Raw genomic sequence first — 19914 nt, 5'->3', positions numbered from 1 at the left:
TGCTTGAACCCGGGAGGCGGAGGCTGCAGTGAGCCAAGATCACACCACTGCACTCCAGCCTGGGTGACAGAGCGAGACTCCGTCTCAAAAAAAAAAAAAAAAAAGAGAGAGAGAATTTAAGGCTGGGTACAGTGGGTCACACCTGTAATCCCAGCACTTTGGGAGGCTGAGGCGGGTGGATCGCTTGGGCCCAGGAGTTCGAGACCAGCCTGGGCAAAATGGTGAAACCCTGTCTCTACAAAAACAAAAACAAACAAACAAAATTAGCCAGGCACAGTGGCACACCCATTGTCCCTGCTACTTGAGTGGCTGAGGTGGGAGAATCACCTGAGCCTAGGAGGTTGAGCCTGCAGTGAGCTGTGATCAGACTACTGCACTCCAGCCTGGGTGACAGAGTGAGACCTTGTCTTCTTGTCTCAAAAAAAAAAAAATTACACACACACACACACACACACAACACAGAAGCTAGAATGAATATGAGACCTTGTCTTCTTGTCTTAAAAAAAAATTGAACACACACACACACACACACACACACACACACACACATATCACAGAAGATAGAATGAATGGGGCCCCTACCCACCAAACTTGGGATAATTGAGCATCAAAATAAATAATGATAGAGACAGAATATTGGCTGGTGTGGTGGTGTGCATGCCTGCAGTCTCAGCTACTTACCTGGGAGGCTGAGGCAGAAGGATCACATGAGCCCAGAAGTTCAAGGCTGTAGTGTGCACCATGATTGCATTATCGACCTGTGAATAGCCACTGCACTCCGGCCTGGGCAACAAAGGAGGCCCTGTCTCAAGAAAAAAAAAAAAAAAAAGAGAGAGAGAAAAGAGAGAAAGAAACGGATTATAAGTCATTTAACAAAATAGAAACCTCTGGATCCATACTAATTAATATAAATACATTAACTGAAGATTTGATGAGAAACAAGATATTTACAAATATCTTGAAAGGAGAGTTTCAGAGTCTCCCTCACAAAATACTTATTAATTTACAAAGGGGGGAAAAAAGTAACCACACTGGACAAGCCTAACAGACATCACCTTATTAAAGTAAACATCTGTAATGAGAGAAGTTAAAATCGTGCCACCTGATAGGGTGCCATGAGAAGAAAGCAGCAACACTTCTAGAGTCCTGTCATACCTAGCTAAATGTAATCATGAGTAAATATCAGACAGACCCAAAATGAAGGCCATTCTACAAAAATAACTGGCCAGGAATCTTTAACAGCGTCAAGAATATGAAAGGCAAGGCAAGACTGAGAGTTCCAGTTTGAAGAGTAGGAAAGATACATGATAAGTAAATACAATGCCTGATTCTGAACGGAATCTTTTACCATAAACAATATTATTGGGACAATTGGTAAAACGCCGAGTTATGTAAATGTTTTGATTTTGATGGTTATATTGTGATTATGTAGAAGGTGCTTAGGGACAATGTGGCATGGTGTCAGCAATTTAAATCTCAATTCAGGGAAAAAAAGTTCTTTGTACTATACTTGCAACCTTTTTGTAAGCTGGAGATAGATTCAAAATGAAACTTGAAAAATGACATTTAAAACGCTGAGTGTAGTGGGAAAACGCACATGACTCAAGGTAAGAGGCTATTAGTCTCAGTTCTGCCATTGACTTAGTATGTGACCTTGAGCAAGTCACTTTACCTCAGTCCTCACAGTCAAGGCTCTCTAGGGTCCCTTCCACGTCTAACATCTACCCCCACAGCACTGGCCCCGCCTGAATTTCTCCAGGCCCTTTAGGTGTCCCAGAGCTGCACCCAAAGACTCTGGCTTACGATAAAAACAGACAAAAATAGTTGTGGCCGGAATCTCCGGACTGAAAAACCGCTGTCCTAATCCTAACTTGGGCCGCAGTCTCCATCGCTCTTTCGACGGTGAAGCAGTCACGCCTGCCAGAGTGGGCGCTCGATGGCTCGGCGGCCAGCTGGCGGGGCCTTGGACCAGCGGCCCGGCGCAGGGCGCGCTCCCAATCGCTAGCTCCCGCGGTGCTCGCCGCTGAGAGCTTTCCGGCCACGCCCCACGCGCGCCCCGCCCACCTCAATGCCTCGCTGTCGCCGCCGCCGGCAATTCCAGACTCTGCTAGGGTTAGCAGAGCAGCCGGTAACGTTGCTGGACCGGGACGCACGCTCAGCTGAGGAGGACCCCCAAAGGCAGGCAGTCGGGGATCCAGGGAGCGGGGACACCTCCGGGCGCGAGGGGGCTGTGTCTGGGCTGCCTGTTGGCTGGGAAGGAGAACGCACCAGGGCCGCTGTATGAGTTGAGCGCTCGGGGATCCCGAGGGTGGTCGCGGCAGCAATGTGATCGCGAAAGAAGCCGGTGGGAGAACCGGTCGAGGGGCTAGGTGTCTTGACCCTAAGGGCTGGAGTCCGCCGAGAAGGGGCTGACTGGGGCACAGGGTCGGCTGATAAACAGCGTGGTCCGTTCTTCCTCCTGGACTACGGGAAAGTCTGGCTTCACCTGTGCACAACAGGTAGGCGTGGACTCTGCCCGCCAGCGGGAGCCGGGGTTGCCGGGCGTGTGGGGAAGGTCAGCAAGTCGGAGCCCGCCTCGCCAACTCGCCGCTCCCGGGACCCGCCCTGCGGCGTCCGCTGCGCCAGTGGTCAGCCAGGAGCCGGGCCCCGGCCCGGCCTTCGGGCGAGCTTCCTCAGAGGCCCGTTCGTTTTCTGCAGGAACCCTCAAAGAGAGTTCCCAGAAGGGAGCAGTGGAGAGTGTGGATATTTGCTTTCTAACTGTTGCAGTTCTCTCCAGGAAAGAAAGCTTTTCCTTTGGTGGCATTTGCTTAGTGTGAGGAAACATTTTCTTTCACCCTACTCTCGGCCAACGCGGCGTTATTTCAAGTGATTATAAAGTCTTTAGAAACTTTATAAAGCGTTTTATAGTGTTTATTTATCACAGTAATGGATACCTCTGGCAAGTTGGGATAATTTTCTTGACTGTCAAGTCAGATAATAATAAAATGGCTTGAGCTCCTACATTAAAGGTCATAGTTATCCATTGTTTTTATGTGCATTCATTTATTGAACAAATATGCAGCACTTTTTTGGGGCTAGGCGCCCTTAAGGAATTTACAGCCTGAAAGATATTAGAAGTTTAAGGAGGAAAAAAAGGGGCCCACAAGTACACTTAAGAACTTCCAGAGAAAATACTCCCAGTGAAATTACTTAAGCTGTAGGGAAAGCAGAAGTGTGGTTAGAATTGAGCATTAGTTGGATGGGGAGAGGAGAATTTTGTTTAATTTTCCAAACATTTTAGAAAGTATGTCTTTGAGAAAGTAATTTTAGATAAAGTATCGAAGCCGAGATTTGTGTTACATTTTAATGCCATTGACTTTTTTTTTTTCTTCACTGATAAGCAGGCAGGATTTATAATATAAGAATAGTGACAGTTGGAGAATACTGTAGTATGGATTTGTTGTGCCTTGGAATGCAGTTGTTTTACCTAGATGACTATAGAATAGGAGAATAAGAAAAGACTCCTCACCTGAAAGTCAGGAGACCTGAATTCTAGCTTAAGTTCCCTCCACTATTTATGGATGTTAGATTAGGTCACTTTTTTAGTATTATTCATTATTGTATCTGACTTTAGTCACAGAAAATACATGACTCCAAAGTACCTTTTTAATTCTTAAATTATTAATTAAAATTAACTACATTAAACTAATGAATATATTATCTACAGAAAAAAATTATTTTTTTACTTGTCTTTAACCAATACACTTACCTTTCTTCTTGCTTTGTTTCAAAAAGGTTGAGGTAGTTTATAATAGTCTTTCTTAACTATGAATAACATAAGGGTTAAATTCTGAATTTTTTAAATTCTAAAATTATTCTGAATTAAGCGTTTAATGACATCTGCATTTTTTTAAAAAGCTCTATTGAGTCTTGTGTGGTTCATTAATTATCCCATAGTATAATTGAAGAGTTTGAACAATCCTTTAATGAGACCACAGTCCTCATATAAATAACACTTCTGCTTTTTCAGGAGACATTGAGAAACTGTTATTAAATCTCATTTGAGAAATCAATTAACTGGGGCCAAAAAACTTAGTAAAGACTTGCCTGTGTCACTTAATTAGATCCCTTGTCTAGTTCTAGTGTTAAATTTTTGAATTAAAATAGTGCTCAGCAATCTACAGCCTGTGGGTCAAATCTGCTCTGCTGGCAGTTTTATAAAAGTTTTATTGAACACAACAATGCTCCTTCGTTATGGCTGTGCATGTTTTGTTTTTGAGTAGTTGTGATAGAGACCGTATGGCTCCCAAAGCCTAGAGTATTGTCTGGTCCTTTACAGAAAAAAATTAGTGGACCCCTGAACTAGAGCTCTTAAGTGCTTAATCACTAAATCTTTTGTAGGAGGAAATAGATTAAATTCAGTTTTAATTCTTCTGTTTGTTTGTTTGTTTTTGTTTTTATCGAGACAGGGTCTGGCTCTGTAGCCCAGGCTGGAGTGCAGTGGCGCGATCTTGGCTCACTTGCAAGCTCTACCTCCCCGGTGCAAGTGATTCTCCTGCCTTAGCCTCCCGAGTAGCTGGGAGTACAGGCATGCACCACCACGCCAGGCTAATTTTTGTATTTTTAGTAGAGACGGGATTTCACCATGTTGGCCAAGCTGGTCTCCAACTCCTGATCTCAGGTGATCCGCCCGCCTCGGCCTCCCAAAGTGCTGGGATATTACAGTCATGAGCCACTGCGCCCAGCCTCACTTTTACTTATTAATCTTGGTTTTTCATTATAATGTCAGGTAATTGTAGGACTCATAAATGCTTCTGGATCTGCAGTGTGTAATGATAGAGGAAGGGCATGGTTTTTCTGCTACATTTACCTAGTGTAAAGTTTTATAATTTTGGCAACTCTCTCCTTTTTTTTTTTTTTTGAGATGGAGTCTCGCTCTGTCCCCCAGGCTGGAGTGCAGTAGCGCCATCTAGGCTCACTGCAACCTGCGCCTCCTGGGTTCAAGCGATTCTCCTGCCTCAGCCTCCGGAGTAGCTGGGATTATAGGCGCGTGCCACCACGCCCATCTAATTTTTTTTTCTTTTTTTGAGACAGAGTCTTGTTCTGTCACCCAGGCTAGAGTGCAGTGGCGCGATCTGGGCTGCTGCAAGCTCCGCCTCCCGGGTTCACGCCATTCTCCTGCCTCAGCCTCCCGAGTAGCTGGGATTACAGGTGCTAGCCACCACGCCCGGCTAATTTTTTTTGTTTTGTTTTTTGCTTTTGTTTTTGTTTTTTAGTAGAGATAGGGTTTCACCGTGTTAGCCAGGATGGCCTCCCATCTTCTGACCTCGTGATCCGCGTACCTCGGCCTCCCAAAGTGCTGAGATTACAGGCTTGAGCCACCGCCCCGGCCAACTCTAGCCTTTTGTAAGTCTAGGGAAGAGGAAGAGTTTTTATATTTTCTCTAGCAACTGTGTTAAGTTTTAATTTAGATCTGGTATGGGAAATTTTTTTCGTTTAGTAAACTTCTCTCTTTTTACTATGCCATTCATAGGGTTTATCATAAGCAGCAGTAAGGTACCTTTACTCAAAGCAGGGTTTTTTTTGTTTTATTTATTTGTTTATTTTTATTTTATTTTATTTTTTGAGACAGAGTCATTGGAGTGTACTCAAGCGATCCTTCTACCTCAGCCTCTGAGTAGCAGGGACAACAGGCACATGCCACCATGCCCAGCTAATATTTTGTATTTTTTGTAGAGAGGCGGTTTTGCTATGTCGCCCAGGCTGTTCTCGAACTCCTGGGCTCAAGGAATCCCCTCATCTCGGCCTCCCAGAGTGCTGGAATTACAGGTGGGAGCCACCACATCTGGCCTCAAAAGAGTTTTTTAAACAGGAATCTAGTGATTCCTAGTTGGTCATAAGGTCAGACAGAATATTATTGGAAGTGTAACTGAACAAGAAATCAGACATATTTACAGTGAGAACCAAATGGAAAGTTAGCACTCTTTAAACAGATACCTAACAGATTGAAACAGGAGTATATATCCTGAATCATGCTTGGGCTTTTTTTTCTTTTTTTTTTAATGGTAACAACACAAAATATTTATTTCTAGAAAAGAAGCATAATATGGCCATATTAAAGCACTATATTAATTATTTGCCTAAGAAATTGGAGCTGGTTATGTGACAAAAATGAAGGAAATCTTGAAGAAGGTGATAATTTTAAATATTTAAAGCTGTACATATACTTTTGCCAATCTTAAAACCATCGACCAGATGCGGTGGCTCATGCCTGCAATCCTGGCACTTTGGGAGGCCAAGGCGGGCAGATCACTTGAGGTCAGGGGTTTGAGATCAGCCTGGCCAACAGGGTGAAACCCCGTCTCTACTAAAAATACAAAAAAAAAATTAGCCGGGCGTGGTGGCCGGTGCCTGTAATCCCAGCTACTCAGGAGGCTGAGGCAGATAATTGCTTAAACTCGAGAGGTGGAGGTTGCAGTGAGCCGAGATCGTACCACTGCACTGCAGCCTAGGCGACAGAGCGAGACTCCATCTCAAAAAACAAAAACAAAAATTAGCCAGGCATGGTGGTACACGCCTGGAGTCCCAGCTATTCAGGAGGCTGAGGTGGGAGAATCGTTTGAACCCATGAGGTAGAGGTTGCAGCGAGCTGAGATCCTGCCACTGCACTCCAGCCTGGGCGACAGATTGAGATCCTGTCTCAAAAAAAAAGAAAAGGAAAAAAAAAAACCCATAGTATGGTGCTAATTTTACTAAATTGTTGTTTTATGTGTGTAATGTATTTTTTCAGTAACTTAGTTGTCCTGTATTGCCCAAGTAATGCTTCTTAATGGGTAAATATACAATAGCATTTATATACTTTTCTGTTGCATTTGGAGGTTTCTACATGTTGAATATATGCATATTTGTGTGTCTGTACACAAAATAATACCTTACTCGAAACAAGTAATAACACCTTTTTTATGTAAATAAAATTACCAGAAAACTGAAGTTACCCATTGAATCACCAAAACTCTTAAAAAACTATTTTGGGAGGAAATCAGAAAAAAAGCAAAGCAGATATACACGTACAAAATCCCTTAGTTCTAATTCTGGAGTCTAAAAGGCTCTGAAAAGTTTTTTTCTTAATTCATTTGGTAGCAAAACATGACCTGAACTGATGCAAAGGTATTTGCAGTCATTATCCCATCGTATGTGAATATGAATCTGCCTATCTTTTGCTGCAGAAATATCAGTTAGTTTGATTTACAGAGTGCTGCTCCAGACAATTGTGGGGATTTGATGGAATAGATGGTATGTTTACTGTATTCCATGAGTAGGACATGAAAGTGGCAGTCAGAAGGCAGAATAATACGGAGTTATTCCAGGGAGCTGTAGTTGCAAAGAGCCTAGCTGGACATCTGGCAGGGAGTGAGAAGCAGTGCCTGCCAAGGAAAGCCCTCAGGTGAGGCTCCAAGAGGTTAGAAATTTAGCTAAATTTTAGGTTAGGTAGCTAAATTTTATGAGGTAGGTTGTGAATTAAAAGTAGGAACCAGCCGGGCGTGGTGGCTCACGCCTATAATCCCAGCACTTTGGGAGGCCAAGGCAGGCGGATCACCAGGTCAGGAATTCAAAACCAGCCTGACCAACATGGTGAAACCCTGTCTCTACTAAAGATACAAAAATTAGCTGGGCATGGTGGTGCGCGCCTTAATCCCAGCTACTCAGGAGACTGAGGCAGGAAAATCACTGGAACCTGGGAGGCAGAGGTTGCAATGAGCTGAGATGGTGCCACTGCTCTCCAGCTGGGGCGACAGAGTGAGACTCTGTCACAAACAAACAAACAAACAAATAAATAAATAAATGTAGGAACCATGAGGAAGAGCCAGGACATTAGACCATAGTGTGGATTAAGGGTGAATCTGTGAATTCTAACTGGGATGTAAGAGACATGAACAATTAGAGGAGAGGGAAAAGGAAGATTCCAAAGCAGGTAGAGTCTAATGCCTAAACTTGGAAGTCCTAGATAGCAGATTGCACAAGCAACAGATGCAAGGATTGACTCATTTTTAAAAGGGGGCAAGAATTTCTGGCCTCTCCTGTAAACCCTGATGTGCTGGAGGAATAATGGCATCTTGTACACTTTGCACCTGTATTAAGTAGCCCTATATTGCTCTGCTTTTAAAAATATCTATATTCAATATTATTTGTCTCTTTCATCACTGTTAGCTTCCTGCTCTTAGTGGGTTTGCTCTTTTACTTTTAATGTGTTTCTCTATCTAGAATCCAAATAACTGGATTATTAGTCATGTCTAAACTAAGAATGAATAGGCTTTGATGGATTTATGTCAGTAAAATCCACGAGTTCTGAAACAATTGCTCTATAGACTTTGTTTTTTTACTTCCTGTTACTGGAATCTCAGTTAGGTACCAAGTAGTGTGATTGCTAGCTAGTGACTTTCAGAAGAGTGTGGTGGGAGATACAAGAAAAGTAAAACTTCTTAACTTAAAATCTGCCTCTGGCATTCCTAAAGGTCCAGAATGAAATCCCCCTTCCATGGAGAGATGGGAGAATTGGTGTGTGGAATGAAGCATAATAAAAATAGTCAAGAATAGCCAAAGACTAAACTAATACTTTTAGTACTTATTGATTTGCCGTCTAGATGGAAAGGGCTCTCTGAAAGCTGATGTCTCTGGAAGACATAACACTAACAAAAAGCCTCAAAGTACTGGAGACATAAAAGTGAAGTGATGAGAAAGAACAACAAAGTTAGAAGGACTGGATGCTTCACCAGCTATGGCAATAACTGTATTAGTAATAGCAGTGATTACTGTAGAGACTATATGAAGTAGTTGAAAGAATGTGGACGTTTAGACAGACAGACATGGACATTACCTTCTTCTTCCACTTAAGTAGCATTTCAGCCTCGGACAAATTTCTTAGCTCATTATCTTTCTATGTAAAATTAGAATAATAATATCTTAAGTTTCAGTATTACGAGGATTAAATGAGATAGTGAATTAAAAGGTTTTAGTACGTAGATCCTCAAAAAATAATCATTTTTCTGTCACTGACATCTTAGAGTTGGTTCCTACTGCTCAGTCTTATCCCCTCCCACCCCCCAGAACACTTTCTTTTACGCTTCCGGGGTGTTCTCTTTTGTAATCTGGAAGGAGAATTGCTACACACAGTTATAGTCCAATTAGGGCTCCCACTGGCAATCTCGCCATCATGGAATCCAGCTTCTACCATTTTTCTCATTCCTTACAATAACATGCAGTATTTTGGAAAAAAAAAAAAAAAAAGAAGGCAGAGTAAATTCAGTCCCCAACCTGTAACCCTTTTTCACCCCACTTCTTATAAATTTCTTGTCCCGGTGTTAAATTCTTTGTCTTGGTAACTCCTGTTTCTCTCCTACTCCACCCTGACTTCTCCATCCTAATAAGATGTGCTCCCCATCAGTTCTTAGAGCAGTGTGTATTTGCTGTTCATATTGCTTTGTATTATGCAGTGGTGAGCGGCAACATTCTTCCCGTTCCTACCAAGTTTGCAGGAAATATTCTTGGCATCTTGGTACACTGAATGTGTTTTCATTATATATTACAATTAGAAGTATTAGTGCCGTGCCTGGGGTTCGTCATAAGTTAAGTTTTTGTGGTACGAGTTAGAAAACATGGATTCATTTGACTGTGGGAATTCGTATTCAGAATTCCGTAAATCAAATTTTAAAATATATAGTACAACAAGCATTTTTAGTTTGTAAAGGATGTATATGTGAAAGTTACTTACAATTATAGAATAACACAAATTTTTTTTGAGATGGAGTTTGGCTCTTGTTGCCCAGGCTGGAGTGCAATGGCCTCATCTTGGCTCACCACAACTTTCACCTCCCAGGTTCAAGCGATTCTCCTGCCTCAAGCCTCCCAAGTAGCTGGGATTACAGGCGCCTGCCACCACGCCCAGCTAATTTTATATTTTCAGTAGAGACAGAGTTTCTCCATGGAACTCCTGACCTCAGGTGATCCGCCTGCTTCAGCCTCCCAAAGTGCTGGAATTAACAGGCGTGAGCCACTGCACCTGGCCACAGACTAACACAGATTTTTATGTGAATTGATAAATCTTAAATATACAAAGTTAAAACATCATATATTTGTCTTCTTTTTTTTTTTTTTTGAGATGGAGTCTTGCTCTGTCACCAGGCTCCCGAGTAGCTGGGACTAGAGGCACGTGCCACCACGCCCAGCTAATTTTTGTATTTTTAGTAGAGATGGGGTTTCACCATGTTGGCCAGGATGAGCTCAATCTTGACCTCGTGATCCACCCGCCTCGACCTCCCAAAGTGCTGGGATTACAGGCCACCGCACCTGGCTGTCGTCTTTTTTCTTTATTTACATCTTTATGAGAAGATTCTGTTTATATAGATAATTTGATCCAAAATACTAATCAGAAATGCCCTCTTTTAAGTAGAAGTATGACATTGATAGTCATTGATAGTGGAAATTATATATCCTTCTACTAGCAATAAATCATTTCAGGCTGCATGCAGTGACTCAACGCCTGTAATCCCAGCACTTTGGGAGGCCAAGACGGGCAGATCACTTGAGGCCAGGAGTTCGAGACCAGCCTGGTCAACATGGTGAAACCCTGTCTCTACTAAAAATACAAAAATTAGCCGGGCATGGTGGCACATGCCTATAATCCCAGCTATTTGGGAGGCTGAGATACGAGAATAGCTTGAACCTGGGAGGCAGTGCTTGCAATGAGCCAAGATTACACCACTGCACTCTAGCCTGGGCAAGAGAACGAGACTGTCTTAAAAAAAAAGAAAGAAATCATTTTATAATATGAACAAAAAAAATTTTAAATTTTTTTGACGTATGCTAGTCTTTAATGATTAGTATTTCAAAGATTGTATTCTATAGAACACCAATTCTATGAGATTCCTGGCTGGGAAAAAAAGAAAAAGGGAGTGGAGGAGAAGCCTATGGTTAAAACATGTTTAGAAACATCAAATGCTCTATCTGCACACCCTCTTGGCAGTACATAGTGCACATTACCATGTTACATGTATGGAGAAACTGGTGAAGAAAACTGACAACGAGGCATTTCCCAAAACCATTTCAACTTGGATTTCCCCCTCTTCCCACAGAATACATGTTTTCATTCTTCTGGCAGCATTCCACAAAGTACTCTTGGTAAACACTGCTTTATCTGAAGGTTTCTCTTAACATGTAAAACTTCTGCACTCGTAGTTTTCTTTACTTTTTTTTCCTCCCATTAAGCCTTTTGCACTCCTGTGCATTTGTAGTTTTCATGGTTTTATATGACAGCCTAGTATTCTTTGAATATGTCAAATTTAACCATTTCTCTTGTGTTGGACTTGTAAGTTCTTTTGAATTTTCACTGGAATTACAGTTAATTACAGTGCTGTAATTAATACTTTTATACTTATATTTTCCTTTTTCTTATGAATTTTCAAAAACTGGATGTTTTTGTCAAATGGTTTTGATATTTTTGTAACCTCTGATAAATAATATTTTTTTCTAAAAGAGTTGAACCATTTGTACTGCCACTGTTTATATTAAACTATCAGCTTTTCTAAAATTTCAGCATTGGCTATAAAAGTTTTTGCATTTTTCATATTTAGATTTAATATGCATAGGTTTGAACCACTCAGCTCAATCAAATTATTTCCTATTGAGCTTAAATCATTATTATATTGTTAACATTTCAAATTTTTAACTAATGATAGCCAATTTATTTGTAGGGTTGTTATAGAGAATTAGAAAGACTAATATTAAGGTCATACAGAATAATATCCTAAGTTTGAATTTCATTTTCAGAGATTTTTCTGCTGTTTTCTGAGGCAAGTGATTTTTTTTAGCCTAATTTTAAAGTATTTTATTGTAGAAAGAAGGAAGCAAGATATTTCAGATTCAAAGATGGAATTGATACAGACAAGATTTTTAAATTATCAAGTTTTAACTGTGTTAAAGAACTCTAACATTATAAATGACTTGCTTCTTATCCATTTTACCCTAAAACTAATAAAGTGTACCAGTTAAGTGTCAGCAAACCAGCTTTAGGATTCTGCCTAGAGATGTATAAAGTACTGTAACAAAAGGACTTAATTTTCTTTATACCAGGGGCAGCCTTCTTTAAGCAACATCTCAAGTGTGGCCTAATGCTCTGTGTAACTGGTGAGTTCCTGTTTTTGTAACGTATAATTTTGCAAAGCCTAAATCACAAATGAAAATCTGAGGTCAGGGTAGAATAATCTAGCTTCCTTCTAGATGAAAGCTAATTACTGTATTTTTGGGAGAGGTTTAGATTTTAGGATTTATCTGTGTTTCTTGAATTGTGGGAGTTCTTGACAGTTGGGGTTTTTTTTGTTTGTTTACTTCATGCTTTTTGTTCAGAACTGAGGAACTAAGACTATAGGGTGAGTTGAAGCTGTTACGGTGTCTTTTAGAGAAGTAAAAGTCAAAGAAAAATAATTGAAATTTAAGTCTGAGACGTATCCCAACACTTCAGGTACTTGATACATTCTGGAATTAGTTTCATTTACTGTTTAGTAACTTTTTTGTTTTGTGAATTATTTTCATGCTCCAGAAGGAAGACACTAACAAACCAATCCAATAAACCTATCTTATCTCATGTCCAATGTCCTCTTTGATTATTTGTGATTTTTCCCTTTTCCGCCCTTGAAATGATATAATCATTTTAAGGAACTAAAATGACCAAGAAGATTAGAATACTTTTTTCTCCCAATAAATTTCAACATATGTTTCCGTCCATACCAAAATAGACCTGTAAACTCTAGAGAGAGAAAATTATATTAGCAGTTTCTATCAGGACCAGAATAATCAGCAGCCTGTATATTTGTTGACATTGTTGAAGGTGCTTACACTGTCATGCCTAAATAAAATTGAAGTTAACTCATTTCCAAATGAATTAAAACCAACCCTTGTTGATAATATGGTTGGTTTTGTTTGTTTTGAGACAGGGTCTTGCTGAGGCTGGAGTGCAGTGGCGCGATCTTGGCCCACTGCAGCCTCCATCTCCCTATCTCAAGGGATCCTCCCACCTCAGCCTCACGAACAGCTGGGACTACAGGTGTGCACCACCACACCCAGCTAACTTTTGTATGTTTTGTGGAGACAGGGTTTTGCCATGTTGCCCAGGTTGGTCATGAACTCCTCGGCTCAAGTGATCTGCCAGCCTTGGCTTCCCAAAGTGCTGGGATTACAGGCATGAGCCACTGCGCCTGGCCTGATAATACGGTTGTTAACTGCTCTTAGATGTGGTTTTGGAGTAAGTTACTTTAGAAAAGAAAACTCTGAGGCCGGGCATGGTGGCTCACGCCTGTAATCCCAGCACTTTGGGATGCCGAGGCGGTTGGATCACCTGAGGTCAGGAGTTCAAGACCAGCCTGACCAATATGGTGAAACCCTGTCTCTACTAAAAATACAGAAGTTAGCCAGGCCTGGTGGCATGTGCCTGTAGTCCCAGCTGCTCTGGAGGCTGAGACAGGAAAATCACTTGAACCCGGGAGGCGGAGGTTGCAGTGAGCCAAGATTGTGCCATTGCACTCCAGCCTGGGCAACAGGGTAAGACTCCATCTTTTTTTTTTTTTGAGACGGAGTCTCGCTCTGTCGCCCAGGCTGGAGTGCAGTGGCGGGATCTCGGCTCACTGCAAGCTCCGCCTCCCGGGTTCACGCCATTCTCCTGCCTCAGCCTCCCGGCTAATTTTTTGTATTTTTAGTAGAGACGGGGTTTCACCGTTTTAGCCGGGATGGTCTCGATCTCCTGACCTCGTGATCCGCCCGCCTCGGCCTCCCAAAGAAGACTCCATCTTTATAAAAAAGGAAAGAAAAGAAAACTCTGGCCCTAGAATATTGGTGCCCTGCTGGTTCCTTTTTCTATTAGTAGTCAATAATATACATATGTGTTACTCTAGGCTAATAAAGTCACTAGGCTTAATACAGAGCCAATCGAAAGGAAAGAATACTATGCAAAGTACAGACATTAGTACATACACTATGTCTGACATTTGAAGACTGGTACTTAAGTTGAATCACATAAATTGTCAAGCCAGCCTTTTTTTTCACCTATAAAAATGGCAGTTTCATATAGTTCAACTTACTCATAGCTTAGTGGTTCTTCAATTTTTCCATTAAAATAGTATTCTTATCAGCAAAAGGGAGTGATTTTTGTTAAAGGACATCTAGAAAGGCATTATCATTCTCAGGATTTCTTTGAAGTCTCATGTTTTATCTTGAAGTGTTTTATTAATTTTGCCTTCTATTATGCATAAATCTGTATTTTAATATAAAATAATGTTAAAAATTAATGCTTAGGGAAAACTTTAAGTAAAATTTGACCCTTTAGTCTAAATTTGACCTCTAGCATAGTAATATGCTTCATAATCTGTTGGCACAATGCTGGAGTTATCCCAATTTGAAAAGCATAATTTGGATGTTACCTTGGTACCTTAGGTCTAGTTTGCAGTGCCTACTTTTCTCAACATAAAAGACCTCTGGTATGAAAATGATGACTGAGTAACTAGGAGTATCTGTCATGTACAAAGTACAGACAGTTTTGAGAGAAGCAAATAGTGCCCAGAGAAATACCTAGTCTAAAAGCATTTAAATACCTTTATAACTTAGTTCAGTTATTGGCTTTAGGGTAAGCACATACAATGTTTGGCTGTAAAGTAATGGAATTAACATTCTTGTGTAGCTTTTAAAAATACATTAATAGGGCCGGGCATGGTGGCTCACCTCTGTAATTCCAGCACTTTGGGAGGCCAAGGCGGATGGATTACCTGAGTTCAGGAGTTCGAGACCAGCCTGACCAACATGGTGAAACCCTGTCTCTACTAAAAATACAAAATTAGCCAGGTGTGGTGGTGGATGCCTGTAATCCCAGCTACTTGGGAGGCTGAGGCAGGAGAATTGTTTGAACCTGGGAGGTGGAGGTTGCAGTGAGCCGAGATCGCACCATTGCACTCCAGCCTGGACAACAAGAGTGAAACTCCATCTCCAAAATACATATATATATATATATATATATATATATATATATATATATATATATATATATAAATAAAATAAGTGATGATAACAGGTACATGTTAATGTTTCTCCTTGGAACAGTTTGCTTAGGTCTAGAAGTTGCTAGGTGCTGGCAGCATTTTGACTAATACTTCATACTATATTGCATTCATGGAGAGTCATAATATACATTAACCTAATTAAATAGCCTGAGAAATCTTGTAGGTAAAAATCCCTAACTTTGTCTTAATGCAAGATTCCCAAGTTTATTACACCAAGGAACCTGATGTTCTGTCTTTGGGAAACAGTGTACTCTAGTTCCGTATATCCACAAATGGTGTACAAAATGTAAGCTTTTTAAAAAATGACTTGCTTTGGGTTTGTTTTTTGATCACGGCTTGCTGTTGCCTCAACCTCCTGGGCTCAAGTGATCTTCTTACCTCAGCCTCCTGAGTAGCTGGGACTGCAGGTGTGCACCACCATGCCCAGCTAATTTTTTTATTTTTTGTAGAGATGGGGGTCTCATTATGTTGCTCAGGCTGGTCTTGAACTCATGGGCTCAAGCAACCCTCCTGCTTTGTCCTCTCGAAGTGCTGGGATTATAGGCGTGAGCCACTGTGCCCGGCCCTACTTCTCGCTTTTTTTTTTTTTTTTTTTGAGACAGAGGTTCACTCTTGTCACACAGGCTAGAGTGCAATGGAATGCAATGGCGTGATCTTGGCTCACTGCAACCTCTACCTCCCGGGTTCCTGGGTTCAAGCGGTTCTTATGCCTCAGCCTCCCGAGTAACGGGGAATACAGGGATATGCTACCATGCCCGGCTAATTTTTTGTATTTTTGGTAGAGACAGGGTTTCACCATGTTGGCCAGGCTGGTCTCGAACTCCTGATCTCAGATGATCCACCTGCCTTGGCCTCCCAAAGTGCTAGGATTATGAGCGTGAGCCACTGGGCCTGGCCTAACTTCTCACATTTTTGAGGAGCTTGATTGGATGAAAGGGTGGCAGCATAGTATGTTGTGGTTAAAACAAATCTTATCTGAAGTCAGATTGCTTAAGTGCACACCCAGGTTCTGTGTGACCTTGGGAAAGTCAGTTAGCTTCTCTGTGCTTCAATGTCCTCATCTGTAAAATAGGGCTAATCAAAATAGCTGCTTCATGGACAATTTGGCAGATTATTCAAGGAAATAATGTAAAGCACTTAGAGTACTGCTTAGACTATAATAAGTAAGCAGTAAATATTAGCTGCTTCTGTTAAATATAGCTGGCATTACATTTGGAGCAGCAGGTTTATGAAATCCTTTTTTCAAGTGGCAACTAACTATACTTTGAAAAATATATTTAAATATATTGACATATGTGTTTACTTGTAGGAAATCACCTTATAATCTCAACAGAAACATAAGGGAAACTAAGAGAAAAATTAGAAAAATAAGCATTTCTCAGGTATATGTAGGGTTGTGGTTATTTTAAAACGTATAGCAGATAACATTGACTGAATTTGTATTCATCTTCCTGATGAGGTAAGACTTCAGATAAGAGCAGCAGCCATCTGTTTGCAAAATGCCCTTGCTTATCACATTGGTAGTGCGAATGTGGAGCTCTCAGGTGCATTTTAGACTTGTGAGTTTTAGATGCGAGATTACCAACATGAATTGTCTACTTCCTTTAGGAGTAATTTACATAAGGAATGTATTGAGGGCATTAGAGATGACTTTATGACCTGCTTATGATCTCAAGCTTTTTACTGAATAATTTATCATCACATTGTGTTAGCTATTTTGCTTCTTGATAGATCATTTTACACCACAATATTGCTGGTGCCTAAGGAAAAAAAATGTCTCTTCAGCAGATCTTAATGATTTCTAGAAAGGGTAATTTGATTCTGAAGATAGGATTTTGACTTGCCCTGGTATTAATAAGAAATTTTCTCTATGATACTGTGGTTATTTCCACCCCCCAAACAATCATAGATACTAAGTGCAAACTTGCTTTTCGCCTTTTCTGTATTTAGTAGGGTTCTTCCAGAAATTATTTCTGTAGCATTTATTAACTGTATCCTTAATTGTGAATATTTTGGCTAGTTCACTTTGATAATTGAACAAAGGAAAGGAGGGTTTTTTAAAACAAGCTAGAATTTTTGTTGCTTCAGTAAAAATGAATGTTTAGCAGCATTGTTTATATTCCTTTTTTGTTGTTGTTCAAGACAGAGTCTCACTCTGTCCCCCAGTCTGGAGTGCAGTGGTGTGATCCTGGCTCGCTGCAACCTCTGCCTTCAGGGCTCGAGCGATACTCCTGCCTCAACCTCCCAATCAGCTGGGACCGCAGGTGCACACCACCATGCTTGGCTAATTTTTGTATTTTTCGTAGAGATGGGGTTTTGCCGTGTTGCCCAGGCTGGTCTCAAACGCCTGAGTTCAGGTGATCTGCCTGCATTGGCTTCCCAAAGTGCTGGGATTACAGGTGTGAGCCACCACACCTGGTCACATCGTTTATATTCTTTGTTCTGTAAAAGTGACATTTTTGAAAATGACCTAATATTTTCTTTCTCTTTCGTCTTTTTTTTTTTTTTTTTTTGGTGGAGACAGTGTCCCACTGTTACCTAGGCTGCTCTCAAATTCCTGGCCTCAGCAGTTCTTCTGCCTGGGCCTCTCAAAGTACTGGGATTACAGGCATGAGCCATCGCACATGGCACTGGACCCAGATTTTTTCTTTTTTTTATTTTGAGACAGGGTCTCACTCTTCACCAGGCTGGAATGCAGTGGTGTGGTCATGGCTTACTGAAGCCTCCACCTCTCTGGCTCAAGTGATCCTCCTACCTCAGTCTCACAAGTAGCGGGGACTACAGGCACGCGCCACCATGCCTGGCTAATTTTTAAATTTTTTGTAGAGACAAAGTCCGTCTATGTTACCCAGGCTGGTCTCGAACTCCTGGACCCAAGACTCAAGCGATCCTTCTGCCTCAGCTACCCGAAGTGCTGGGATTACAGGTGTGAGCCACTGTGCCTGGCCCTGGACCCAGATTTTTATGTGCAATCTTCTTATGTTTAAATGTTAGCCCCAATGCATTGCAGGCAGTCTTGACCAACAGGGAACCAGTTTGTGACTACTGTCTTTTTATTAAAGAGGCTTTTTTCAGTTATATTATAATTATGATGAGCTGATATTCTAAGTAATTTCAAACAGGTAAACTGTTGGAGAAAAACATGAAAAAATGAAAAGCCTTTCCCAAGTCTGTCATCTAATTTTCTAATACCTCTTTAGTTACTGGCTTCTCTGTAAAAGTATGAGGTTTGTTTAGGGAAATGTAAGATATGTATTTTAAATATTTTAGTTAAATTAGCCATAGCATTTTATCTACATTCCTATGAAATTCCAATTAACATGTTTCTATTTAGGTACACTAGTGAATAGGAATACCCATCTTTTGTATATGATCTGGTACCTTCTATGTTCTTTAATGTTCCTGATGATAGCTGCTACTCCTGCAAGTAGTAGTATTTTTTAATAGCCAACTTGTGTTTTATTTCTTAAATAATTTTTTCTACTTTTTGTTGTGCTTTTTAAAATGTGGAAAAATGAAGAGTAGTGAAATGATCACTCACATACCCACTACCTGTATTCGGCTGTTAACATTTTGCCATATTTTATGGTTGAGTGCACGATTTAACCATTTAAAAAGTAAGTTGCAGTAAAGCATCCATGTCCTAAAAATAAAAAATTCTGTCTAGTAATCACAATTCCATCTTATAAATTTGTATGTTAATGTGAATATGTATGTATATACATACACTTATATGCTGCGTGTGCTCTGTAACAGCACTAAGGTGTACCCAGGAGATGCTGTTGAATAAAACAATAATTTTACAAACCCTGTGTCTTCTGTTGATTGTTTGCTACAACAAAATTAAGGCTGCATTGGATCTAGGTCAGAGCAGATATGATCTTGATTGCTATAATTCCTGGACAATACCCATTTAAAAAAGTTTGCTCTCACAAGACTTTCAGAGATAAGCCTAGTTAAGACTGGACTCTCCTAAACTCCCAGCCTGAAACTATAAGCAATGCCTTTATTAGGCTGGGGGAACTGATGCTAATGGGCTTAAGTCCCTCTTGGATCTCCAGGTAAATGACAGGGCATGTACCTAGCTAGGCAAAGGCTCAGAGAGATGGCAAGCTTTACTATAGAATTCTAGTAGAAGGTCTGGATGTTTGGTGTCATTTGTTAATATGTACCTATTACCCATTTTAGTAAGTTACTTAAACTACAAAGAAAACCCAACACAGAATAAACAGCCTAATCTTAAAATTTTCAGAATTTTAGTGGAATGTCTCTTCTGTTTAGCAAGTTTTTGCATACAAATGCAAATATTGCTACTCTATTTTTGCCTGTCTGCTTGAGTACAGAATATAAGGGTGGATTTTATGTCAGTGTTAACTAGAACATTATTGGGATTTTCCCAGATTCACCCTAGAGCATTTATAAAAAATGTATACATTTAATTATGTTTTCACTTTTCTGATTTCCGTTATGATTGCCTTCCTTTTTACCCCCCTTTTAAAATACATTATTTTCCTGTATTGCAGATTTTTATTGTTAGGTATATTGACCAAAGTTTAACGAGAAGAACTGTGATCAGCTGGGAGGATTGCTGCAAGGAATGGAATTAGCTCATAGCTTACTGCTGAATGAAGAAGCATACAATCAACTAGGTGAAGTTCAGAAGGCAGAGTTTATTTTTGAGTGGTTGAGATACTTGGAGAAGCTCTTGTTGGCAACCAGCAGGGTGGGTAAAATGACAACATCTGTTTTTTTGTTTAAGTGCCCATGTTTACTTCCTTTGGTTTGCTTTTCTAGTTTTTTCCAGAATAACCTAATTTAGCTTTACAATGTTAGACTT

General features: G+C 40.5%; 1 protein-coding gene and 1 long non-coding RNA gene across 2 annotated transcripts in view, besides 3 other annotated features; one reads left to right on the top strand and one right to left on the bottom strand.

The window, feature by feature from the left end:
• The window catches only part of HEATR5A-DT (HEATR5A divergent transcript), a 32126-nt gene extending 30234 nt beyond the window's left edge, over positions 1–1892 (bottom strand). The window contains exons 1-2 of the long non-coding RNA NR_110045.1: positions 1673–1892; positions 682–806 (exon numbers count right to left, since the gene is read on the bottom strand). This is a non-coding gene — a long non-coding RNA (HEATR5A divergent transcript). The remainder of the gene's footprint in view (positions 1–681; positions 807–1672) is intronic.
• Positions 1780–1929: an enhancer, noted in NCBI's record as "active region_8233". NCBI's record gives its function as "activates an Ori minimal core promoter by ATAC-STARR-seq in GM12878 lymphoblastoid cells {active_cell/tissue: GM12878}" and the evidence as "EXISTENCE:reporter gene assay evidence [ECO:0000049][PMID:35858748]".
• The window catches only part of HEATR5A (HEAT repeat containing 5A), a 128763-nt gene continuing 110948 nt past the window's right edge, over positions 2100–19914 (top strand). Inside the window, exons 1-2 of the mRNA NM_015473.4 lie at positions 2100–2178; positions 19601–19800. Coding sequence (NP_056288.2) covers positions 19675–19800 — 126 coding nt within the window. The 5' untranslated portion in view covers positions 2100–2178; positions 19601–19674. The remainder of the gene's footprint in view (positions 2179–19600; positions 19801–19914) is intronic.
• Positions 2360–2409: an enhancer, noted in NCBI's record as "active region_8232". NCBI's record gives its function as "activates an Ori minimal core promoter by ATAC-STARR-seq in GM12878 lymphoblastoid cells {active_cell/tissue: GM12878}" and the evidence as "EXISTENCE:reporter gene assay evidence [ECO:0000049][PMID:35858748]".
• Positions 2520–2639: a silencer, noted in NCBI's record as "silent region_5656". NCBI's record gives its function as "represses an Ori minimal core promoter by ATAC-STARR-seq in GM12878 lymphoblastoid cells {active_cell/tissue: GM12878}" and the evidence as "EXISTENCE:reporter gene assay evidence [ECO:0000049][PMID:35858748]".

Source organism: Homo sapiens, chromosome 14, assembly GCF_000001405.40.
Source record: "Homo sapiens chromosome 14, GRCh38.p14 Primary Assembly".
Classification (NCBI taxonomy): domain Eukaryota; kingdom Metazoa; phylum Chordata; class Mammalia; order Primates; family Hominidae; genus Homo; species Homo sapiens.
Note: the sequence above shows the minus strand (reverse complement) of the source record. Positions and strands in the feature narration are given on the sequence as shown.